Source organism: Homo sapiens, chromosome 4, assembly GCF_000001405.40.
Source record: "Homo sapiens chromosome 4, GRCh38.p14 Primary Assembly".
In the NCBI taxonomy this organism is placed as follows: Eukaryota; Metazoa; Chordata; class Mammalia; order Primates; family Hominidae; genus Homo; species Homo sapiens.
In genome coordinates, this window is record NC_000004.12 from 119,939,125 (window position 1) to 119,965,761 (window position 26,637).

Genomic DNA, 26,637 nt, shown 5'->3' on the forward strand with positions numbered 1-26,637 from the left:
TATCTCAAAGCACAGGCTTTTACCCAACACGTGGTGCTCTTGCCTCTATTCTTTATTTATTTTCTTTGGATTTTATAAAAGATTCCACAACCATTTGGTTTTCCATCACCACTGAAATCAACCTTTCCTTCGTGGTGCATAAAAAAACAACTGTCATCTGCTTGGAATCTAGTAAAACATGGAGCACATTGCATAATGAAAGAAGAAATAATTGAGAAGTCCAGCTATCAAAAAAAGTCAGAAACAAAGATGAAGATAATATGTTTTGGATGAGAGCAATTGCCTACAAATATAACTGTTGAGGTGGTGATGTCATAAAGAGAACAGAACAAAGATTGTCTAGGCCTTGGCATGAGATCCAAGTGAAGTGCCCTGAAAAAGCCACTGACAAAGATAAGTCTCTATTTTTAAAAGCATTACAACTAGTTACCATTCTCTGTATTTAACCCAGCGAACTACATATCGGAAACTAAAATTTATTGGAGAGATTCTCAGAACCATACTAGAAACATTACCGAGGTCTCATCTAGTTTTCTCTACTGCCTTCCAAGGTAGGTTTTCATCATTTCTAGGTTTTAGATATGAAAACAGAGGCTGAGAAAGGGTCAGTAAGTGGCCCTGGGAAATTGCAGGGAGGGACTGACTAGAGTCCAGGCCAGCTTTCAAGGCAAGACTGTGCTCTTTCTGCCACCCCTCATTGTACCCAACTGGGCTCAGCCTGAAAGATAAACAACAAGAGTGCTCATTGTGTCCTTCTTCGGACCTTGCAGACCACTCACATTCAATTTTTAAGGGGAACATATTTTCCTTTACTTATTTTGTCTTAATCTTTGTAGTTATGTTAGTATTTAGAAAGAGTAGCCCTTTATTTTCTTACCAGAAGCCATTTGTTGTCCTGGACACCAATAACCCTTTAATGGGTTTTATAGAATCTATAGTATTCTGCTAAAAACATTTCCTATAAAGACAATGTTCCCTTTCTGTCTGCTAAAAAAAAATGTATCTATGGAGGAGCTGAATTTTTATTTTGCTTGGCTCATTATCACAAAAGATGTGCAACATTTTTCATTTTTTGCATACTGCTTTTGAGATGGCTCTTTGCATCCAAGCAAGGCTTTTTATGATGTGAAAAAATTTGTATCTATATATTTAATAACATCTTTGTTTAAGAGACTCAGTTCCTAGATTATTTTTGTATACTTTTTACATTCATTGGGAATATTAGAAAGTGAAAGTGATAGAAGTTATTTTAATTTGGTTGTAAGTCCAAGGCCCTTGAGATAGAAAACAGATTTTTTTTTAAAGTTTTCTGTCAGTAATGAATGCTGATGCCTTGTACTAGTTTTTATCATAATTTTTAGGAAATTAGGTACAAGCCTTCCCACAGTAAACATCTGAGGACATTTATGTTTACCATTAGTGTGACAATTTTTTTTTCAGGGAAAAACAACTACTAAAAAGAAATAGCTCCCTGCAACAACAAATATTTCTTCCCTGTCACATCTCACTCTAAAAAGGAGCATTGTATTATACCTTGAATCAATTAATCTGTTCAAATTAATAATCTGAATTTGGTGCCTAGTTTTTCCACTATCCATAAAAAGGGAGTGGAATGATGTAGGTTGCACTGGGCCTCAGCTCACCTCCAGGCTCTGGTTGGAAGCTCTCTCGCTTTTTATGTTGATGCTACAGTAATCAACTCAAGTGGAAAAAATAGTTGACCAATTGCCACATTTGTATTTTGTCAAAATAAGTAAATTTTAGTTTGTGTATTATAACAAAAGGGATTTAAATGTTTGTTTCTTCACAAAGGCATTATGTTTGCTCCAGTTTCGCTGGATGTTAATAGTAAAAATTATTCTGTGATTATTGTCATTTATTTTATATGACATTAAAAACTTCTGTTCTCATTAAAGTCAGTTGAGGCCTTTGTGAGCACTCTTGGTATTCATTTGAATGTTAAATGAGAAGTTATTTTTTCAAATAAAATTATGGCTTTTTTTAAAGACAGAATCTGCTTTATAAATATTAATATATTATTACTAGCAGAGATCCATGAAAACTTTAAAGAAAGAGGTTGTACTTGGCCTACATCCTCCTTGTCATCACTACCATTATATTTACTTGTAAAAGAATACAGAAACAATGAAAAATGAATTTTGTTTATGTCAAAAGATGAAGATGACTATTAACTTGTTATAGTTATGGAATTGCAAACAAATACTTATGAAATTTACCATGATACATGACCCTTACTCCCAGGCACCTAAGGGAGCATCTCTATCTTAGAACTGTGGAAATATCCTTAGAATCCTGTAAATTTCCAGGGTTCACTGGGGCTTTTTCTCCAGTATAAACACTAAAATAGATTTCTCACCCCTCCTCCTCTTTCTCCTCCTCCTCCTCCCTCTTTTCTTCCTTCTTCCTCTTTCCCTTCTTCTGCTGCTACTCCTACTCTTCCTCATCTTCCTCCTCCTCCTGTGAGCCAGTTTATATTAAATTCACACTTTCTTATTTCTACTGAAATAGTATAATAGTGTCAATGACTGAGAGTGAAGAAACATAGAGGGACCCTAAGAAAATCCATTTGAGTACAAAGCTATGTTGTAATACATTTTAAACATTCCAAGGTGGTATCTAGTTTGTTGATATAATGTTATGAGATTTATCCCCTCATTCTCAAAGAGCAATCCCATCAGCAAGCCTGATGGTCCTGGGGAAAGGAGGAAGGCTGAGGGTAGGAAAGATGAAGGGAGTACATCATGAACTATTCTTCCACTCAAGAACTTTAGAAGGTGGGTCAACACCCACAGATGCCAAGTGGTTACAAGGATAGGCTTGCAAGTTAGGTTGTCTGTGTTATAATGTGGGCAATTTACTTTACCTCTCCATGAGTTTCCTCATCTATAAAATGGGGCTAATACAGACTAGTTGATGTATTAGGTTGGTGCAAAAGTAATTGCTGTTTTTGCAATTTCCGGATTAAATGAAACAATGTGAATAAAATATTTAGAAGAGTGATCGGCACATGGTAGATGCTTAGTAAATATTGTAGGAGAATATAAACTTTGTTCTGGGGTCCCACTCTGTCACCCAGTGCAGTGGTATGATCACAGCTCACTACAGCCTCAACCTCCTGGCCTCAAGGGATCCTCCCACTTCAGCCTCTGGAGTAGCTGAGACTATAGGCATATGCGACCACACCCAGCTAATTTTTTATTTTTTTTTTATAGAGATGGGAATCTCACTCTGTTACCTAGGCTAGTTTTGAACTCCCAGGCTTAAGTGATCTTTCCACTTCAGCCTCCGCAAGTGCTGGGATTATAGGAATGAGCCACTGCACCTAGCCTCCTGTTTTGGGCTTTTAGATAACTCCTTGATTTGGTTTCAAAAAACTGGACAGCATGAGCACATTACTGAACTAAAAGAAGAATTACTCAAATAAATTTTTCCAAGTCCTCATATGTAGAAGTTTCCACACAGAATCTTCAGATTTGTACATATAGATACTTATATTAGAAAATCTAAAAATCTATAAAAACAAGCAGGTGTTTGTCACATTTCCAATGGGCCATATAGTGTTAGTTTGATAATGCCTTTAGAGGTGATATCTAGAAAAATGATTTTATCTGATAACTAATTGTTTCATAAAAATCTTCAGATACACAGACATAGGGTAAAAAACATTTAAAAAAATTTCAGGAAAAAAGTCATCTTATATCACAAGACACTTTTTCAACGTGTATTCTTATATTCAATGTGCCCTAAGCTCTGCATCTAGATTATTCTTCATGTATGCTTCCTGCAAAATTCTTTTCATTTCATAAGTTCCACTGAAGAGTTTTAGCATTGTCTCATGAATCAGTGAAGTCACAGGGAGATTTCCACATGAGGCATCTTTGATCTCATTGTAGCTTTGGTGTCTCCCCAAGTACTTCTGACTAGTGGGAAGTCCCTGAGTGCTGTGCCCACAGTGCCTGGGAATCCTTCATCAGGCTTATAACTATTTAAAATGCAAGTCCACCTGAGCATTAAATTTGTAAAATAACCCAGAAGATATGGTGGTTTCTATATTAGAAGTCTAAGGCAGATTAGGCAGAAATTGTCAAAAAAGCAGTTTCACTGCTGACAAAATCGATCACCTTCTTACTCTCCAGAGATAAATGGGAAGTGTGTCCATCACTTACATAGAAGACCTGCTGGCCTCTAGTTGGGATATGTTTGGTTTTGTTTTCTAAGTTGGATTTAGTTTGTAGGCTATAGTTTTTCAGTTTTAACCACAATCTATCAAAAAAAGTGGTATGAACAAAATCTTAAGAAAAGAAATTTAAAATAACCTCTGCTTTAAAGGCTAAAAAAACTTATAAAAACTAAGGTTGAAATGTATTTTATATCCCTCTAATTCAAGGTTATATATTTTTTAGTTTGTCTCTCCTAAGTAAAACTTCTATAAATATTAATATTTTTATAAGTCATGCATTTTTTAGTCTTTGTTCAGTTCCTCAAAATGTTTTTGAAGTAAGAGATAGATAATAAATGTATTAATGGTTCTCTGTAAAAGCAGTATTTTTAAAAGGTAAAGTATGGTTCATACTCAATAGACCAGTCAGTCCATAGCTATTTGCTGCCATTCATAAAGTGTGTGCAGCACCTTCTTGAGCCAGGCTTCTCTCAGCACACATTTTGTAAACGCTCGTCTATCCCCTGTGTCATGTGTATAGGGTAATAGAGATGAATTAGGCCTGCTTTGCCCTGGAACAGGGAGAACTGGTATCTTTCCATGAGTACAGCTGCTCCCACAGCATCTAAGAAACAAACTGACAGAGATCCGGCTTGATTATCTTTCTAAGTATAGAAAATGCTTTTGGATTAAAAAATAAAATACCACTGAACAACCTGTGGACAGCCAATGGTGTGGACAAAGTTGGGAAAGGCCGCACCTGTGCTGGGAGATCCCTTCTCTTGGCCTGGCCCCTGGTGAATTTAATGGCCATCTTCTGGTAAGACCCCACCTTGGTCCTGCGTTTATGTGGGTTAGCTATGAAAGGGCACAGTCAACTTCATATTGTCTTGGACAGGTAGAGAAAAGTAATTAAATTTTTCCCCAAACTTTCTTAAAATGCAAAACATTTTAATATGATGTCTGTTAAGCCAGTAACTCACTTTTTGACCTCCTCTATGGCACTTGCGTACTTTGTACTTTCCCCAAAGAGGTTTTTCTGTGCAAATATGTGCAAATGGTAGTTAAATCGTGGTAACTATTGGAACAATTTCCTTTAGTTTTCATCAGTGGTTTTTCAACACGGCTCTTTGAGTACTTGGGGAGTGGGTGTTCAGGGGCTGTGGAAGGAGAGTTGAGGGAGGAAGTCTCTAGAACTCCCTTTCCAACATCCTACCCCTCATGCCCAGTCTCATCTGTGTTTTTAAACCTCTAAAATAGATCCTTCTTCACCGAGTATTATTCAATAGCCCATTTAAGTTTGAAAAATTGCTTTTATACTCCCAAATTAACTCTGTGAATAAATGTAATCTAACAATACAAATAGGCTGGGCAGGGTGGTCTCACACTTGTAATCCTAGCACTTTGGGAGGCCCAGTTGGGAGGATCACTTGAAGCCAGGAGTTCAAGATCAGCCTGGACAACATAGCAGGATGCCTTCTACACACACCAAAAAAATGCAAATGAAATTAATCAAATAATCATATACTGGATTGCCTGAATTTTTGTATAGCAGATTATCTATTGGTGTCTATAGAGAGGTGACAGTCTAAAACAAAGGTTTGATTCATGGAATGCAGGTCAGTTTTCTAATACACATTCTTAGGCTGGCATAAGGATGGGTAATGTGGCTTCCTACCGTGGACATCCAGGGTCGACACTCTTGGGTTCACAGGGATCGTGCAATTCGTAGTTCCTGCTCTGAACCACCACACACCAAGTTTCATACTTGTTTTATATAGTGAGGGTTCATCGTATGCACTCAACACTCTTCTTTCCTCCTCCGTCCACTCTACCAAACCTCATGCATCACCATAAAAGGTTGAGACAAATAAAATGTTTCCAAGTTATTAATTTAACAGAATCTTCAGTGCAGCTATTTACTTTAGGAAAACATTTCCAAAGCTCACTGGGAAGAAATATATGTTTGTATCATTCCCTGCATATCTTCTTTTTCGTAAAATATTTCTGTAAAGGTTTTCAGTTTCTGTTGCTTAATGTCTTCTCTATGTTGCAGGTAAAAGAGGGAAGTTCAAACTGGAAACATGTAAAATCTTTGATGAGAGAGTTTTCAAAAAGCCTTTTTTTTTAATGAGGGGGAAAGTGGAAACCAGGTTTACATTGTCGTATTTGTTATAAAGCTATATGAATATGTATAAGGCATTTACAACAATGACTGGCACCTATTTCTTTTGCTGTTATTACTCTTCTACAAACTGGCATGAGTAATTAGACATGGAATATATGTAATTATGCATATTTTGGGCCAAGTAGGTGGGCCACTCTCCTGATCCTGAGGTGGTGTGGAGATGGGGAGTAGGGAAGCTCTTGCTGGTAGATAAATAAAATGTGGCAGCCTCCGCAGAAAAGTTTGATGGCTCCATAATAAGTTTTACCTAGAATTACCTTTTGACTCAGCAATTTCATTCCTACATATAGACCCAAGAAAAATAAAAACATACATTCATACAAAATGTTTATAGCAGCATTGTTCATAATAGCCTAAAAGTGGAAACAAATCATATGTTTGTCAACTGATGAATGAATAAACAAAATGTGGTATTGGTGCTAGGAATGAGGGGAATGAGGGTGACTGCTTAATGGGTATAGAGTTTGCTTTGGGGTAATGAAAATGTTCTGAAAAGAGATAGTGTTGATGGGTACATAATATTGTGAATGGGCTAAATGTCACTAATGGTCAATTGTATGCTATATGTAACTATACTACGACTTTTTAAATAGCAAGAGGGTGATAAGTCCATGTATGAATGAACCTTAAAACATTTTCAATTTGGATATTGAATGCTGCAGTGAAATAGTGGAGAAAATATTAATCTTTAGTAAACAATAGGTGAATTGACCTCAATCAGAGAATTGTAGTAATGAAGAGTAAGTTTTCTGAGAACCAATAGGGACCAATTTTAGCAAATCATATATAGCAATTTATTTATCTTATAAAGAAATAACATATTGTGTTTTTTTCTCTAAAAAAAGTATTGTTTCTTGGCCAAGAGTGTTCCATCCAAATGCCAAATTTCATAAGTACGATTTAACCTGAAAACTAATATTCTGTATATTTGAATAGCACTTCAAGCTACAAGAACACTCAGAGGTTTAACTAACCCAGTTTTCAGTTGCGGAAACCGGAGCTCAGAGCAGTTAAGTGACTCGCTTGTGATGACATAGCTTGCATCACATAGTTACAATTAAGTGTTTAACTTCCAAACCAACCTGTCTTCCACTCTGAGATCTACTTCCCATCACTGTAATACTGCCTGTGAAAGAGCAGGGCCCATCAGAGGCCTAGTTATGAGGACAGTACAATTTACACGTGTACCCACATCAGTAACAATAGGCTGCTGATATTTTTTTCTAGAATGACAGTCTTAATATGTTGTTATGAATATTTTATGTAGTTTAACTTTTTCTCCCATTTTTAAAAACTGTAGCTCTTCAGAACTAAAGGAACACTGGTGCTCTTTCCTTCCAAGGTATTTTGTCAGTATATATATTTTAAATCTTTAATTTGCAATAAAAGAATGTAAATCTCTGCAAAGCAGTATTCCCAAATTATTCCCCTTTTCCTTAATAGAAATTGTTAGACCATCCTCGAACAACTTTTTATTTAGATTTAACATGACTGCCTCTGTGTAAATATTGTTTTCTCATTTATCTGTATGTTTTGTTTATTTTCGAGGAAGCTCTGATTACCACTCTCATCTTTTCCTTCTCTCCATCCTATAGATTGGAGCTAGCATTGTTCTTAAGACATAAATTTTCCAAGCCAGGCTAGTCCGAATGCAGTGGTGTTTATAATTAATTGATCACAACGAGCTACAGATTTATTTATTCCTTCTCCACTTCCACCACTTCACTTGACTAGCCTTTAAAAACAAACACATAAATAAATAAAATAAATTTCCAAGCCAGGCATGGTAGCTTGACCTGTTAGCCAAGCTACTCGGGAGGCTGAGGCAGGGGGATCATTTGTGGCCAGGACATCAAGATTACAGAGGCTGCAGTGGCTGCAATGAGCTATAATTGAACCACTGCACTCCAGCCTGGGTGACAGACCCAAACCGTCTCTAAAAAAAAAAGGAAAAAGTTCCTATACATGCTTTCTACCCTTGAACCCAAGAAGATGCTGGGCCTTCCAATCCAGGCGGAGTGTTTGAGGACTGACTCCTGCCCAAATCTGATATCACAGGGCAACTTGTTATTTTGGAGGCCATGCTTTATTTTCCTGAAATATTTTGCGTATTTTTTCAACCCATGATTTGATGTTGCTGAATCTAGCCACATGTTTTTAAAAATACTGTAAGTATATTTAAAATATTAGCAACATAGATTGATTTGAAAATAAGCAATTAGCTAATTTATCCTACTCTATTTTGGGATATTATTAAATTTGATTAGGTACATCAATCTAGCCAAAGAGAAAGACCACCTGAAAGCATTCGCCTTCAAATCTTCACTGAGGACATCAAGAAATGTGTCTCTGTAACTGTTTTTGAGGCCAAATATTAAATTCCAAGTATTTGCCTTAGGCAGAATGAAAAGGAGATAGAGACAGGGATGATATAGAGATGGGAGGAAGGAAAGGAGAGACAAAGAGAGGAGAGAAAGAAAGCATTTAGAAAATACTGTGTGGAAAAGTGTACTTTTATATATTCATGTATGTTTTCACATGTTTAAAAATTAAGGACTAAGCAATATGAAGCAAGAGGAATCCATGTTAACTACAATACTTAAGCTTGAAAAGAATATTGCATGTTAAATGTTCATGAACTTGGGCCAGGCACGCAGGTGCAGGGTTGTAATCCCAGCATTTTGGGAGGCCAAAGCAGGCAGATCACTTCAGCTCAGGAGTTCGAGACCAGCCTAACCAACATGGCAAAACTGCATTTCTACAAAAAATACAAAAAATTAACCTGGCACTGTGATGCTGGCCTATAGTCCCAGCTATTCAGGAGGCTGAGACAGGAGGATTGCTTGAACCTGAAAGGCAGAGGTTGCAGTGAACTGTGATCATGCCACTGCACTCCAGCCTAGGTGACAGAGTGCAACTCTGTCTCAAAAAAAAAAAAAAAAAAAGTCAATAAACTCTAATGGTTTGTTGTAATAAAGTGATTTTCACAAGCAGACATTTCTTACTGAAATTAAACTTTTTTCCCAATCATCACTAGTTACATACAGAGTAATTTTGGTTATTTCCACTTTTTAAAAATGTTTGCTCATTTTCAATTTAAAGGCTTTTAATTATTTGGAAATAATTGTAAGCATACAGAAAAGTACAAAATAACACTAAGAATACCCATATGCCATTTACCCAGATTGACTTATTTGTTTTTTGTTTGTTTGTTTGTTTTGTTTTGGTTTTTTTTTTTATTTTTTTTATTATACTCTAAGTTTTAGGGTACATGTGCACATTGTGCAGGTTAGTTACATATGTATACATGTGCCATGCTGGTGCGCTGCACCCACTAATGTGTCATCTAGCATTAGGTATATCTCCCAATGCTATCCCTCCCCACTCCCCCGACCCCACCACAGTCCCCAGAGTGTGATATTCCCCTTCCTGTGTCCATGTGATCTCATTGTTCAATTCCCACCTATGAGTGAGAATATGCGGTGTTTGGTTTTTTGTTCTTGCGATAGTTTACTGAGAATGATGGTTTCCAATTTCATCCATGTCGATACAAAGGATATGAACTCATCATTTTTTATGGCTGCATAGTATTCCATGGTGTATATGTGCCACATTTTCTTAATCCAGTCTATCATTGTTGGACATTTGGGTTGGTTCCAAGTCTTTGCTATTGTGAATAGTGCCGCAATAAACATACGTGTGCATGTGTCTTTATAGCAGCATGATTTATAGTCCTTTGGGTATATACCCAGTAATGGGATGGCTGGGTCAAATGGTATTTCTAGTTCTAGATCCCTGAGGAATCGCCACACTGACTTCCACAATGGTTGAACTAGTTTACAGTCCCACCAACAGTGTAAAAGTCTTCCTATTTCTCCACATCCTCTCCAGCACCTGTTGTTTCCTGACTTTTTAATGATTGCCATTCTAACTGGTGTGAGATGATATCTCATAGTGGTTTTGATTTGCATTTCTCTGATGGCCAGTGATGATGAGCATTTCTTCATGTGTTTTTTGGCTGCATAAATGTCTTCTTTTGAGAAGTGTCTGTTCATGTCCTTCGCCCACTTTTTGATGGGGTTGTTTGTTTTTTTCTTGTAAATTTGTTTGAGTTCATTGTAGATTCTGGATATTAGCCCTTTGTCAGATGAGTAGGTTGCGAAAATTTTCTCCCATGTTGTAGGTTGCCTGTTCACTCTGATGGTAGTTTCTTTTGCTGTGCAGAAGCTCTTTAGTTTAATTAGATCCCATTTGTCAATTTTGGCTTTTGTTGCCATTGCTTTTGGTGTTTTGGACATGAAGTCCTTGCCCACGCCTATGTCCTGAATGGTAATGCCTAGGTTTTCTTCTAGGGTTTTTATGGTTTTAGGTCTAACGTTTAAATCTTTAATCCATCTTGAATTGATTTTTGTATAAGGTGTAAGGAAGGGATCCAGTTTCAGCTTTCTACATATGGCTAGCCAGTTTTCCCAGCACCATTTATTAAATAGGGAATCCTTTCCCCATTGCTTGTTTTTCTCAGGTTTGTCAAAGATCAGATAGTTGTAGATATGCGGCATTATTTCTGAGGGCTCTGTTCTGTTCCATTGATCTATATGTCTGTTTTGGTACCAGTACCATGCTGTTTTGGTTACTGTAGCCTTGTAGTATAGTTTGAAGTCAGGTAGTGTGATGCCTCCAGCTTTGTTCTTTTGGCTTAGGATTGACTTGGCAATGCGGGCTCTTTTTTGGTTCCATATGAACTTTCAAGTAGTTTTTTCCAATTCTGTGAAGAAAGTCATTGGTAGCTTGATGGGGATGGCATTGAATCTGTAAATTACCTTGGGCAGTATGGCCATTTTCACGATATTGATTCTTCCTACCCATGAGCATGGAATGTTCTTCCATTTGTTTGTGTCCTCTTTTATTTCCTTGAGCAGTGGTTTGTAGTTCTCCTTGAAGAGGTCCTTCACATCCCTTGTAAGTTGGATTCCTAGGTATTTTACTCTCTTTGAAGCAATTGTGAATGGGAGTTCACTCATGATTTGGCTCTCTGTTTGTCTGTTGTTGGTGTATAAGAATGCTTGTGATTTTTGTACATTGATTTTGTATCCTGAGACTTTGCTGAAGTTGCTTATCAGCTTAAGGAGATTTTGGGCTGAGACGATGGGGTTTTCTAGATAAACAATCATGTCGTCTGCAAACAGGGACAATTTGACTTCCTCTTTTCCTAATTGAATACCCTTTATTTCCTTCTCCTGCCTGATTGCCCTGGCCAGAACTTCCAACACTATGTTGAATAGGAGCAGTGAGAGAGGGCATCCCTGTCTTGTGCCAGTTTTCAAAGGGAATGCTTCCAGTTTTTGCCCATTCAGTATGATATTGGCTGTGGGTTTGTCATAGATAGCTCTTATTATTTTGAGATATGTCCCATCAATACCTAATTTATTGAGAGTTTTTAGCATGAAGGGTTGTTGAATTTTGTCAAAGGCTTTTTCTGCATCTATTGAGATAATCATGTGGTTTTTGTCTTTGGCTCTGTTTATATGCTGGATTACATTTATTGATTTGCGTATATTGAACCAGCCTTGCATCCCAGGGATGAAGCCCACTTGATCATGGTGGATAAGCTTTTTGATGTGCTGCTGGATTTGGTTTGCCAGTATTTTATTGAGGATTTTTGCATCAATGTTCATCAAGGATATTGGTCTAAAATTCTCTTTTTTGGTTGTGTCTCTGCCCGGCTTTGGTATCAGAATGATGCTGGCCTCATAAAATGAGTTAGGGAGGATTCCCTCTTTTTCTATTGATTGGAATAGTTTCAGAAGGAATGGTACCAGTTCCTCCTTGTACCTCTGGTAGAATTCGGCTGTGAATCCATCTGGTCCTGGACTCTTTTTGGTTGGTAAACTATTGATTATTGCCACAATTTCAGAGCCTGTTATTGGTCTATTCAGAGATTCAACTTCTTCCTGGTTTAGTCTTGGGAGAGTGTATGTGTCGAGGAATGTATCCATTTCTTCTAGATTTTCTAGTTTATTTGCGTAGAGGTGTTTGTAGTATTCTCTGATGGTAGTTTGTATTTCTGTGGGATCGGTGGTGATATCCCCTTTATCATTTTTTATTGTGTCTATTTGATTCTTCTCTCTTTTTTTCTTTATTAGTCTTGCTAGTGGTCTATCAATTTTGTTGATCCTTTCAAAAAACCAGCTCCTGGATTCATTGATTTTTTGAAGGGTTTTTTGTGTCTCTATTTCCTTCAGTTCTGCTCTGATTTTAGTTATTTCTTGCCTTCTGCTAGCTTTTGAATGTGTTTGCTCTTGCTTTTCTAGTTCTTTTAATTGTGATGTTAGGGTGTCAATTATGGATCCTTCCTGCTTTCTCTTGTAGGCATTTAGTGCTATAAATTTCCCTCTACACACTGCTTTGAATGTGTCCCAGAGATTCTGGTATGTGGTGTCTTTGTTCTCATTGGTTTCGAAGAACATCTTTATTTCTGCCTTCATTTCGTTATGTACCCAGTAGTCATTCAGGAGCAGGTTGTTCAGTTTCCATGTAGTTGAGCGGCTTTGAGTGAGATTCTTAATCCTGAGTTCTAGTTTGATTGCACTGTGGTCTGAGAGATAGTTTGTTATAATTTCTGTTCTTTTACATTTGCTGAGGAGAGCTTTACTTCCAACTATGTGGTCAATTTTGGAATAGGTGTGGTGTGGTGCTGAAAAAAATGTATATTCTGTTGATTTGGGGTGGAGAGTTCTGTAGATGTCTATTAGGTCTGCTTGGTGCAGAGCTGAGTTCAATTCCTGGGTATCCTTGTTGACTTTCTGTCTCGTTGATCTGTCTAATGTTGACAGTGGGGTGTTAAAGTCTCCCGTTATTAATGTGTGGGAGTCTAAGTCTCTTTGTAGGTCACTGAGGACTTGCTTTATGAATCTGGGTGCTCCTGTATTGGGTGCATATATATTTAGGATAGTTAGCTCCTCTTGTTGAATTGATCCCTTTACCATTATGTAATGGCCTTCTTTGTCTCTTTTGATCTTTGTTGGTTTAAAGTCTGTTTTATCAGAGACTAGGATTGCAACCCCTGCCTTTTTTTGTTTTCCATTGGCTTGGTAGATCTTCCTCCATCCTTTTATTTTGAGCCTATGTGTGTCTCTGCACGTGAGATGGGTTTCCTGAATACAGCACACTGATGGGTCTTGACTCTTTATCCAACTTGCCAGTCTGTGTCTTTTAATTGCAGAATTTAGTCCATTTATATTTAAAGTTAATATTGTTATGTGTGAATTTGATCCTGTCATTATGATGTTAGCTGGTGATTTTGCTCATTAGTTGATGCAGTTTCTTCCTAGTCTCGATGGTCTTTACATTTTGGCATGATTTTGCAGCGGCTGGTACCGGTTGTTCCTTTCCATGTTTAGCGCTTCCTTCAGGAGCTCTTTTAGGGCAGGCCTGGTGGTGACAAAATCTCTCAGCATTTGCTTGTCTATAAAGTATTTTATTTCTCCTTCACTTATGAAGCTTAGTTTGGCTGGATATGAAATTCTGGGTTGAAAATTCGTTTCTTTAAGAATGTTGAATATTGGCCCCCACTCTCTTCTGGCTTGTAGGGTTTCTGCCAAGAGATCCGCTGTTAGTCTGATGGGCTTTCCTTTGAGTGTAACCCGACCTTTCTCTCTGGTTGCCCTTAACATTTTTTCCTTCATTTCAACTTTGGTGAATCTGACAATTATGTGTCTTGGAGTTGCTCTTCTCGAGGAGTATCTTTGTGGCGTTCTCTGTATTTCCTGAATCTGAACGTTGGCCTGCCTTGCTAGATTGGGGAAGTTCTCCTGGATAATATCCTGCAGAGTGTTTTCCAACTTGGTTCCATTCTCCACATCACTTTCAGGTACACCAATCAGACGTAGATTTGGTCTTTTCACATAGTCCCATATTTCTTGGAGGCTTTGCTCATTTCTTTTTATTCTTTTTTCTCTAAACTTCCCTTCTCGCTTCATTTCATTCATTTCATCTTCCATTGCTGATACCCTTTCTTCCAGTTGATCGCATTGGCTCCTGAGGCTTCTGCATTCTTCACGTAGTTCTCGAGCCTTGGTTTTCAGCTCCATCAGCTCCTTTAAGCACTTCTCTGTATTGGTTATTCTAGTTATACATTCTTCTAAATTTTTTTCAAAGTTTTCAACTTCTTTGCCTTTGGTTTGAATGTCCTCCCGTAGCTCAGAGTAATTTGATCGTCTGAAGCCTTCTTCTCTCAGCTCGTCAAAATCATTCTCCATCCAGCTTTGTTCTGTTGCTGGTGAGGAACTGCGTTCCTTTGGAGGAGGAGAGGCGCTCTGCGTTTTAGAGTTTCCAGTTTTTCTGTTCTGTTTTTTCCCCATCTTTGTGGTTTTATCTACTTTTGGTCTTTGATGATGGTGATGTACAGATGGGTTTTCGGTGTAGATGTCCTTTCTGGTTGTTAGTTTTCCTTCTAACAGACAGGACCCTCAGCTGCAGGTCTGTTGGAATACCCTGCCGTGTGAGGTGTCAGTGTGCCCCTGCTGGGGGGTGCCTCCCAGTTAGGCTGCTCGGGGGTCAGGGGTCAGGGACCCACTTGAGGAGGCAGTCTGCCGGTTCTCAGATCTCCAGCTGCGTGCTGGGAGAACCACTGCTCTCTTCAAAGCTGTCAGACAGGGACACTTAAGTCTGCAGAGGTTACTGCTGTCTTTTTGTTTGTCTGTGCCCTGCCCCCAGAGGTGGAGCCTACAGAGGCAGGCAGGCCTCCTTGAGCTGTGGTGGGCTCCACCCAGTTCGAGCTTCCCAGCTGCTTTGTTTACCTAAGCAAGCCTGGGCAATGGCGGGCGCCCCTCCCCCAGCCTCGTTGCCGCCTTGCAGTTTGATCTCAGACTGCTGTGCTAGCAATCAGCGAGATTCCGTGGGCGTAGGACCCTCTGAGCCAGGTGTGGGATATAGTCTCGTGGTGCGCCGTTTCTTAAGCCGGTCTGAAAAGCGCAATATTCGGGTGGGAGTGACCCGATTTTCCAGGTGCGTCCGTCACCCCTTTCTTTGACTCGAAAAGGGAACTCCCTGACCCCTTGCACTTCCCAAGTGAGGCAATGCCTCGCCCTGCTTCAGCTCGCGCACGGTGCGCACACACACTGGCCTGCGCCCACTGTCTGGCACTCCCTAGTGAGATGAAGCCGGTACCTCAGATGGAAATGCAGAAATCACCCGTCTTCTGCGTCGCTTGCGCTGGGAGCTGTAGACCGGAGCTGTTCCTATTCGGCCATCTTGGCTCCTCCTCCCGACTTATTTGTTAACAGTTTACCACACTGCTTTTTCATTTATTTTTTTCTCTGTCTCTCTTTTTTTTTCTCCATATATATGTATGTGTACACCTGTTTTTGAAGGACAGTTATATACACCATAGCCTCTTATTAAATATTTATGCATTTCCTAAGAATAAGGTTATTCTCTTTATAACCACCATTCAGTTATCAACTTCAGTAGATTTAACATTGGTAGCATGTTTTAATCTCCCATTCATGTTCCAATTTTGTTGGTTGACCCCAATAATGTTTCTTTTCCAGCACAGAATCCACTCCAGGGTCAGGTAATGCAGTTAGCTGTTGTGTCAAACACACAGGAGTTTTGAGTTTGAGTCTTTCATTCTGAATAATGTCAGGATTGAACTGAGCTGAGAGGGACATCACTTTTAAGTCATCAGCATATGTCTACCTCATTCTTTTTAATGCTACTAGGGAAAATAATCAAACCTTTAGCTTCAATTATTGTGTAAGTTTTGATTTCTGAAGTTGTAGTGCAGTAGCCAGGTTGTTCATAAACATATTCTCCTTTTTTTTTTTTTTTTTTTTTTTTGCACCTTCCCCTTTACAGCAAGTCTAGATCACACAAAATAGTATTCGTAGGTTGGAAAAAAGGATAGTTCAAAAAAGCTATTTCCTGGCTGATAGCAAAGGCCATGCGAATGTTCTGACCTATTTCCAAATACCAGATGCCTTGCTTGAGGGAGCTGAGACTAGAGAGGCCTCCTGTGGGGAAGGACACTCTTGTCTGCCTGCTTTGATTTCATTGTGGCAAATGCTATCATTCAGCATTTTTCACGAAAAATTGCCCTGAAATTTAAAAAAGTGAACTTTAGTTATAATTTATATGAAATAAACATTTCTAATTCTCATCATTCATTTCTGAAGCTCCAGGTTTCCCTTTAATACTGTTTCATTTCATCCTATAGAAAATTTCTTAGCATTTCTTACAGTATAGGTCTGGTGCCAACAAATTTTCTTAGCTTCTTTTATCTAAAAATGTCTTTCACCTTCACTCTTGAAAGATATTTTCTTCAAATATAGAATTTTGCTTGCCATTTTTTTCCTTCCAACACTTTAAAGCTATTTCACTGTTTTTTGGTCTCTGTGCTTTGTGATGAGTAGCATATGATCATTCAGCACTGATCATCTATCTGATTTTTCATTTCATTTTTACTACTTTCAAGATTTTCTTTTTTATATTTGGCTTTGAGTAGTTTGACTATGATATGTCAAAGCCTGGTTTTCTTTGAATCTTATTGTGTTTGACATTTCTGAAGTTATTGAATTTGTAAATTTTTATCTTTTGCCAAATTTGGGAAACTTTTAGCCATTATTACTTAAAGCATTTTTTTTTCTAGACCATTTTGTCTCTTCTCTCATTCTGGGATTACAGTTATGAGTATATTAAAACTTTTTAAAATTTAATTTTAATTTTTTTTTTGACAGAGTCTTGCTCTGTTGCCCAGGCTGGAGTGACGTGGCATGATCTTGGCTCCACTGCAACATCCACCTCCCAGGTTCAAGTGATTCTCCTGCCTCAGCTTCCCAAGTAGCTGAAATTACAGGCACTCACCACCATGCCCAGCTAATTTTTACTATTTTTAGTAGAGATGGGGTTTCACCATGTTGGTCAGGCTGGTCTTGAACTCCTGATCTCAAATGATCCTCCCACCTCGGCCTCCCAAAGTCCTGGGATTACAGGTGTGAGCCACCACGCCTGGCCTAATTTTTATTTTTTAATTGACACATAATTGTACACACTTATAGGGTACATAGTGATCTTTTGATACATAAATATATAATGACCAAATCAAAATAATTAGCATATTCATCATCTCAAATATTTATCATTTCTTTGTGTCGAGAACATTCAGTATCCTCTCCTCTAGCTATTTGAAAATATATAACATTGTTAACTATAGTCATCATACAGTGGTATGATGTATCTATCTGTAATTTTGTGTCCATTACCTAGCTATCTGTAATTTTGTGTCCATTACCAATATCTCTCTATCCCTCCATTCCACCTATTGTTTCTTCTCAGCCTCTAGTAAGCCCTGTTCTACTTTTTATGTCTGCGAAATCAAATTTTATTTAGCTTCTACATGTGAGTGAGTACATGCAGTTATTAAACCTATTGCTATTGTGCACAGGTCCCCAAGGATCTGTTAATTTTTTTCAATCCTTTCATTCCCCCTTCTTTGGACTTCGGACTGGATACTTTTTTTTTTTTTTTTGAGACAGAGTCTCACTCTGTTGCCCAGGCTGGAGTGCAGTGGTGTGATTTCAGCTTACTGTAAGTTCTGCCTCCCAGGTTCACGCCATTCTCCTGCCTCAGCCTCCAGAGAAGCTGGGACTACACGTGCCCGCCACCACGCCCAGCTGATTTTTTGTATTTTTAGTAGAGATGGGGTTTCACCGTGTTAGCCAGGATGGTCTCGATCTCCTGACCTCATGATCCGCCTGCCTCAGCCTCCCAAAGTGCTGGGATTACAGGCGTGAGCCACCATGCCTGGCCAGGGACTGGCCGCTTTCTATTGATTTGTCTTCAAATTCACTGTCTCTTTCATTTGTCATTTCAATTATGCTATTTAGCTCATCCAGGAAATTTTTTCTTGCAGATCTTTCCAGATCTAAAACTTTCATTTTAAAATATTTATATTTCTATGGTAAGACTTTCATATATTTTTATCCTCATGAGCTAATTTTCTTTTACGTAATGGAGCATAATTGTAATTGCTGCTTTTGGTCTCATAATTTGAATGTCTAGATCATCTTAATGTTGGCCTCATCCCTTGGGAATGTGTCACATTTTCCTGGCTCTTAATACATCAAGAAACACTTTAGCTCATATGGGAAAAAAATAGTCACGTTTCATTTTTTAAAAAATGATTTGATAAAAATTTATTTTAAAAAGTTATTTGCTTACAAAGAGCTCTATCTACAAGGAGAACAGAATCAAGAAGAAGTACACATATCCTTGTGAATATTATTTTGACTTTAATATGTTCCTTATGACATGAAAACCTGTTATCCTACAAACAATATAAAGGATGCATATTATCATTTCAAAAGAGATTTTTACTTTATAAAATATTTCATGGTAGAATTTTGAAATTATATGGAAGGACTTTCAGACATTTGAAAAAAAAAAAAAACAGAACTTTTCCTTTTAATTAAATCCCATGCTAGAGTCCAGTGCTTACATCCCCCTAGACACCTTAGCATAAACAGCCCCTGACATCCCTGAGTTTGGGTGCTCTGAACCCTGCTGTTGGGTTCTGAGACACTTTTTCACAATCCTTAGGGCTACAAGCAGCATAGTTTGAAGTCAATGAGTTTAAGATGACTTTGTTTATAAAAACCTAATTAACAACTTTCAGGGTCATCTGTTATGTCAAGCAGTTAGTCCATAAGAAAGAAAAATAAAATGAAAGGGAAAGCAATGAATTATACATTTTTTAACATCATCTTTAAAGTCCATGGGAGTCCACTTAGGTTTTTTATTTGTCTTCTTTAAGCACTGTTTATCAGAGAATGGGGCCCTCATTATGAATGTATATGCATAGAAAATATCCTTGGTTACATATTGCCTTATTTTAAAATAATATCTTTTGAAATTCAGAGTGCAATAGATGTCATCTCAGAATCCTCTTAATCCTTTTGGGTTATTTTCTGCAAATTGTCTTCCTATTTTTATGGAGCAGTTTCTCAATGTGAAGTGCAATAGAGAGCTATTATAGACACTCTACTGTCTGGCAGAGTTGGAAATGGAACTTAAATTTCTAAAATTTTATTTAATTGTCTCAATAGATTTCAATAACGAATATCTTAGTAACTGTGATGCTTGACAGAGAAAATGCTCGCTACCTAGGGATTTGAAAAATGTCTTTTATAGCTAGTTGTTATTCTGATTTTACTAGAACTGAATGTGTGATGTGCAAAGAAATAAGCCATATGGTAAAAACACCACTCAGGAAGAGAGAAAGGGCCCAGCTCCTCCTTTTTAAACTGTTCCCTCCATTGTGGAAGTAGCCTCCTGATGCTGAGGCGCAGCCCCTGTGCCCTCTCTGAATTCTCGGTCTTTCTCTTTCTTGCATGAGCTGTTATATTACAAGTGCCACAAGTCATTTATTTTAAGAGAAATATATGTTTTCCTGAAGTTATTTCTTCTGGTTTCATGTAATATAAAGGAATGAAAATAAATTTTAATTAAGGATTCATGCTCTACATGTGCTTGACTTTGTCATTACCTGGAACAAACTTTGCCTTTAGAATACAGATAATAATGTGAAAATAATTATGTAATCTTATGCATTAAAATTCTTAATTTACAGCCATTTTTTATCTCCTTTTTAAAGTATATAGCCACAACAGTAACAAATTCAGACACAATAAATGACATCATCAACATGTCACTACTAAAGCTAGGAATAACTTTAAGTTACCAACAAGCTATTTTTAATTAAAAATCATCTTTGATTTTTGAATTCATATATATTCAAATATATATATGTTTGATATATATATATATCAGAGTCATATTTTGTCCCTCCACATTAAGGAATTGAAAACAACAAAGATATAACATTAGTTTATATATGGGTACTCTTCTTGTATTCCTATTTTAAATTTTGTGTGAACTGAAAGTGATAGCATAATAAAATCAGTCTACAATTTTAGAGCACTAATAGCATATATATTTACACATATACAGTAACGTTTTTGTAAAAATCTTAATAAGAAAGTTCCAATCTTCTCTACCACAGTGTTCTTTCAATATCTTCTTTCTTTGTTCCTCCCATCCCTACTTACCCTGATTATCATCCAAGGACTCAATCTTAGTATGAGGAGTCCTGAAGGACATGTTTTGTTGTAAATTTTGACATAAGAAACACCTGACTAGAAACCACATCCCCTGTATGCTGGTCCTGATAATTAGGTAACTGACGCCTCTCCTGAATTGGTGAAAAAGAAGACAAGGCTTTCATGACACCATGGATTTGGGGGCATTTGTGTGCACACCACTTCAATCCTGTTTTGCTTTTAAGTGTCTATTCCTTTACATTGATAGAGCTGGTGTCATTTATTGAGGTTTTCTAGTGGAGAGGTGGGCATATGTGAGGATGAGGATGAGGGTTGCAGAAAAAGAAAGATGGAAGTCTATGTAACTGAGAACTTTTATTAAAGAAAGTGACATTCAGATAGACAAAAACAAGAAAATACTTGTATAGCATTGTTCCTTCTATAAAATTGCCTAAAAATGTGAAAATTTCTGGCTGTTGTGACATGAAGTCCAATATTTTTATTTAAATTTAGTTTGACTGTATGATGTAATAACACCTCTAAAAAACTCAGGGCAACCAGAATTTGACATAAGAAATCAATTATTTCTGTACTAGTGGATTTCTGTAATACATTTAAAATAAAATTGAATTTATATTTGCTGATTAAAGCAGACACTTCTGCTTCGCTTCCTAACCTATATGATATGTGTGTCCTAAATAAAAATTTAATCTAGAAGAGGGTGAGTGGAAGAGGGATGGGGCTCATCCAGGTTTGTGATTTTCCTTTGTTAAAGTGATTCATGTCACCAGACAAGAAAGAATTCCTATTGCAATCAAGAATTGAGGCTATCTGGCTAGATATTTATGTATACCTGACTTAAGAGATTCCAACGTGATGCTTCCAAGCCTTACATTAAAATAAAAGATTTTTAGATTGTACTCTCTATTTGCAATACAATTTTGAGCAGATTAGCTCTCTCTCTTTCTCTCTCTCTCTTGCTCTGTGTGTGTGTGTGTGCGTGTGTGTGAGAGAGAGAGACAGAGAGAGAGAAAGAGACAAAGAGAGAGAGACAGAGAAGGTGACAGAGAGTCTCCATACCTAGGACATTCCATAAGGACAAGGCCATGATTTTTATTAAGGAATGAAGGGCAATCATAATGCTTATCAAGAATAACTTCATTTGAAACATGTTTTTGCTTCAGCCTTTCTTGAAGGAATATTTACAGTAATTCAGCAGAGTCTACATAATTTAGATACATTTGTGGCAAGATTGCCAGTATTGCTGGGCAATAGTAAGTTAAAAAAACAGTAAGTTAAAAAAAAGTAAGTTAAAAAAAAAGTAAACGAATACTGGAAATATATTTGCTTAAATAAAATGCATTAATTTAGTTAAAACAGTGTCTTGATGACAGATAACACTCAGGCTTACAGCAGCACCACTCATCATGGCCCCTGAGCAGCCATGCTGAATGCATATTTTAACATGTTCCCAATTCTTGATTGTGGATTAACTGCTGGTTACCCTGAGGATTTGGTTTTACTGTGTAGGTTATATTGGTTTTATTGTATAGCTATTATGAAAGCTTCCTTTGCCCTACAAAATGCAAATTTTAATTTATGTTCTAAATGGAATATTGACATACTATCTATGCCAGATAAAAAGGAAAAGCAAGAGCTCACCAATATGCGCTTAGTGATAGATCAGAAATGAAAGAAAGGGAACTTTAAACAACAATCTACCTCACAGCAAGTGTTCTATGGTAGGAAGCCATAAAACATGAAAGAGGAAAACACATCCCTTAGCAGACAACTCCTGATGATTGCATTGTGTTTTTCCATTCTGTAAACATTGTTTTGCAGGTTGTTTCTGGGCTTCCAATACCCTGCAGCCTTCTCCCTGGCTGGTACTTATGGGGACACCCTCCTCCCAGGTAGAGCCAGTGGGAGGAAAGCCCAAAGGCAAACACCATGCCCTCCTGCTCTTGAGGAGCCCTGCCTAAAAATTTGACAAAGGGAAAAGAAATCTCCATTAAACTGACAACATCTGTGAAAAATTAGTGATTGTGTTAGTTTGTCTTCATGCTACTGTGAAGAACTACCTAGGACTGGGTAATTTATAAAGAGAAGAGGTTTAATTGACTCACAGTTCCACAGGCTTCACAGAAAGCATAGCTGGGGAGGCCTGAGGAAACTTACAATCACGGCAGAAGGGTGAAGGGGAAGCAAGAATGTCTTACCATGGTGGAGCAGGAGAGAGAGAGAGAGAGTTAAAGGGGAAGTGCTACAGACTTTAAAAGAAGCAGATTTTTTGAAAACTCTGTCACAAGACTGCACTACGGGGATGATGCTAAGCCATTAGAAACCATCTTCATGATCCAGTTACTTCCTACCGTGTGCCTCCCCCAACACCGGGGATTACAATTCAAAATGAGATTGGGTGGGTTCACAGAGCCAAACCATATAATTCTGCCCTGGGCCCTTCCCAAATCTCATGTCCTTTCACATTTCATGCCTTCCTAACCATCCCCCAAAGTCTGAACTCATTCTAGCATTATCTCAAAATTCCAAGTCCAAAGTGTCATATGAGAAAAGGCAAGTCCCTTCTGCCTATGAGCCTGTAAAATCAAAAACAAGTTAGTTACTTCCAAGATACAACTGGGGTACAGGCATTGAGTAAATGCTGTCATTCCAAAAGGGATAAATTGGCCCAAAAAAGGGGGCAACAGGCTTCTTACTTGTCCAAATCCCAGCAGAGCAGTCACTAAATGTTAAAGCTCCAAAATAATCTCCTTTGACTCCATGTCTCACACCCAGGGCACAGTAGTGCAAGGCCAATGTTGTTCTCTTGTGATACCTTTTTGGAGTGTTACATAACATTGAGCAGCATTCCTCAGCCAATCAGATGACAGCTTATAATTTATCCATGTGTATAGCCCCAAGCATTCTTTAGCTGTCTACTTCCTGCTGCTCAGAAGTAGAAAATGGGTTCACGAAAAAGATAATGAGGTCTCTCACTTTTATGCCTTGGGGAGCAGAGCTCCCACTTTAAACCTGAAATTCAAGATATTAACTATGATGAACCCTTTTTTAAGGTGCACACTTTAATTACAGTTCTCTGGAGTAGCAGATAATTTATCCTATTGTAGGAGTGGTAGAAGGTATATGAGAAGGTAGGTTGTTAAATAGGAAATTGAGAGCAGTGAGTCACTTTTTTCTCATCTAGGAGACAAAACACTAGATTAACTATACCACAGAGAGATAAGAAAGTTGTGTAACATGATAGAAACCAACCTGGTCTTTGGAGTTTGACAAGCCAAGATTCAACTCTCAGTCTCATCACTGAGGGATGGGTAACCATAGGCAAAGATTCCAAGCCAAGGTTTCCTCAGCTCAACAATGGCAGTGGTGATAAGGCCCAGCTCCTCTGGTCATTACTGACACCTTATTGGTGGTTTGGATAATATGAACACTCATGGCTCCACACATATTGCCTTTCTCTGTCAATCAGGGCTCACAATTGACATTCAAGCAACTACTTGGCTACTATTTTGTCTCTGCTGCTGGAATGAGAAAACTAGTAAAACATTCTAGAATATCCTAATGGAGCTACAATGTACCTAGTAAAAAGACCCCAGCTCTCTCCCAAGATCACCCAGAGAGCAATCCTGAGGCCAGGCAATGCATGGAGAGGGACTGCAGTTAGAAGAGCAGAGATTTTCTCTCCAGCTGCCTCCTTCCTTCATGAAAGACCCTCAGAGTATCTGCTTCCCAAGTTTAAGATACTTAACGAGTGAATTTCACAAGTTTTTATCTATTGGGTGCTTTATAATTCTATTGGGTACTTTAAAGTTGTGCATATTTTACAAGAAGTGAAGAATATTTATCTTCACTCCAAATATCCTACAGGGGTTACTTGAAAATTACCCTGTTTTTAAAGATATGACCACTGATATAAAATGTTAACTATTAAGCTAGGCTATAAATTATAACTTTAGCCCACTGCTTATAAGTATTTTAACTTACATGCCCTAAATGCTCTTGAAAGGATCATAGCTGTTTCTTAGAGAAAACTGGCTCATGTCTTTATGTATCAACTCTGAATTTTTCTTAGAATTCTGAATTTCATGTTTTTTTTCACTCCAAGATTCACAGATGAAATGTGATTTATAGCTATGCCAAATGAAAAGAGCACCCTATTTTCCCCTTTTGTGTTACAGGTTTCTACTGTACAATTTCTCATTGAAAACTGCCTCAGCATTTTTTAAGAAGACATCACTTCCCCCTTGGGGAAGAAAGAACTCAATGACTTGAAGAAACTGATGCTTCAGGTACCTTGAAAAATTCAGCTGGTTTTGATGAGAAACAGTCAATGGGGCTGTTAGGGGTCCTGGCGGATGCTTAGGCAGTGGCTGTCCTGGATTCCAGGGAATGCCCCAAACCCAGTGATGCAGGACCCAGGACTCCATCTGCTCATTCTTCATAAGGTTGGCTCACAGGTCATCTGCTGAGAAGGTCATCTTCTCCGTCTTCACTGGGCTCACTGAATGAGGACATTCCAAGATCCCAGCTCATCTCATTTGAGCTTTCCTTTTCCTAATCCCATGCATCTGTGTTTGAGAAAATCTTCCCAAGTGATAGATCTTCTATTTTCCGATTTCTTCCATGTTGTATTACTTTTTTTATTAATAATAATAAATACACATATTTTTGGTGTGTACATGCATATTAGTCTGTTTCGTGTTGTTATAAAACAATACCAGAGGTGAGGTAACTTATAAAGGAAAGAGGATTATTTGGCTTAAGGTTGTACAGATCAGCATCTGCTTCTGGTGAGGGACTCAGGAAGCTCTTAGATATGGGAGAAGGTAAAGGGGGAGCAGGCTGGTCACATGGCAAGAGAGCAAGCAAGAGAGATGGGAGGAGATGCCAGCCTCTTTAATCCACCAGCTCTCCTGTGAACTAACAGAGCAAGCCCTTGCTCATCACCTTGGGAAGGACACCAAACCACTCATGAGGAATCCACCCCAATGAACTAAAACCCTCCCACTTGGCCACACTTACAACATTTGGGATCATGTATCAACAAGAGATTTGAAGTGGAGAAATATCCAAACTATATCACCAGGTGATAACTTGATATATTCATAAATCTAATCAAGGTAATTGGTTGGAATATTTATCATATTAAATATTTCTCTCTTTATATTATGTTGGTGTGAAAGTAATTACAGTTTTTGCCATTAATCCTTGATCCATGAAGGTTTTTCTAGAAAGAGTTTCATGGTCACGCTTGCCAAATCCTGTATTTTTCTTCAGGATGGTCAAAATATCTATAAACATATTAGCATCTTAGAGAAAATTTGCAGTAAAGAAACCGACAATTTTCCACATGTATTTGACCATGGAGACACTTTTGGAGTAACCCCATTAATTAATAATCCTGAGAACATACATGAATAAACATTGCTCTATGTTTATTTTCTTAAAACACAGATTTTACCATTGCGCTTACCTACTCAAAAACCTTCAATGAATCTGCCTATTTTTTTTCTAGTAAAATGTCCTTTTGAAGATCCTCCACAATGCAACCTGCTCTTTTAGTCTGATTGTATCTTTGCTGTTTCCCAGTGTAGATCCTTGGCTTTCATAAAGGTCAAACACTTTACTCTTTTCTAAACAAGACTTACTCAAATTTCTAACTATAATCCTCTACTCCCTTTGGTCTCTATATATCCACACACTGGGTAAGCCATTTAAACTCTCCTCTTCACCATGTTTCCCCTGAGCATTCCAACTCAAATTAGTTGTTCCCATATAACACATGAGGACCTGACCTCAGTAGACACTGTACCACGAGGAATATGTTGGTATATTTACGTATTGTCCAGAAAAATAAAATTGTTGTGGTAAACAAGTATATCTTGGGTTTTATATAACTTTTTTTTGGTCTAAGAATATTTTAAAATATTACATTTAAAGCCTGGCTTAATGTCTACTAAAAATGCATGTATTATTAATGAATATATGCAGTTTTCTAAGAATGTAGGGATTTTACATGAATTGCTAACATTGGTACACTTCAAAACTGAAGAGGTAGAAGAGCATAGGAAATTTCAGTGAATAGTAAAAAGACGTTAATTTGACTAACTTAGTGCATTTATTTTTTTTGAGACAGGTTTTTGCTCTGTCAC

General features: G+C 37.8%; 1 long non-coding RNA gene across 1 annotated transcript, besides 1 other annotated feature; it reads left to right on the plus strand.

Annotated features, from left to right (window-relative positions):
- Positions 1-415: 415 nt before the first annotated feature.
- LINC02502 (long intergenic non-protein coding RNA 2502) lies at positions 416-25,169 on the plus strand. Its single transcript, NR_121639.1, has 2 exons — positions 416-551; positions 24,664-25,169. It is a non-coding gene; the product is annotated as a long intergenic non-protein coding RNA 2502 (long non-coding RNA).
- Positions 15,317-15,891: an enhancer, noted in NCBI's record as "H3K27ac-H3K4me1 hESC enhancer chr4:120875596-120876170 (GRCh37/hg19 assembly coordinates)". NCBI's record gives its function as "activates a minimal SCP1, AML or CMV promoter by ChIP-STARR-seq in naive H9 embryonic stem cells {active_cell/tissue: H9 hESC(naive)}" and the evidence as "EXISTENCE:reporter gene assay evidence [ECO:0000049][PMID:30033119]".
- Positions 25,170-26,637: the final 1,468 nt, after the last annotated feature.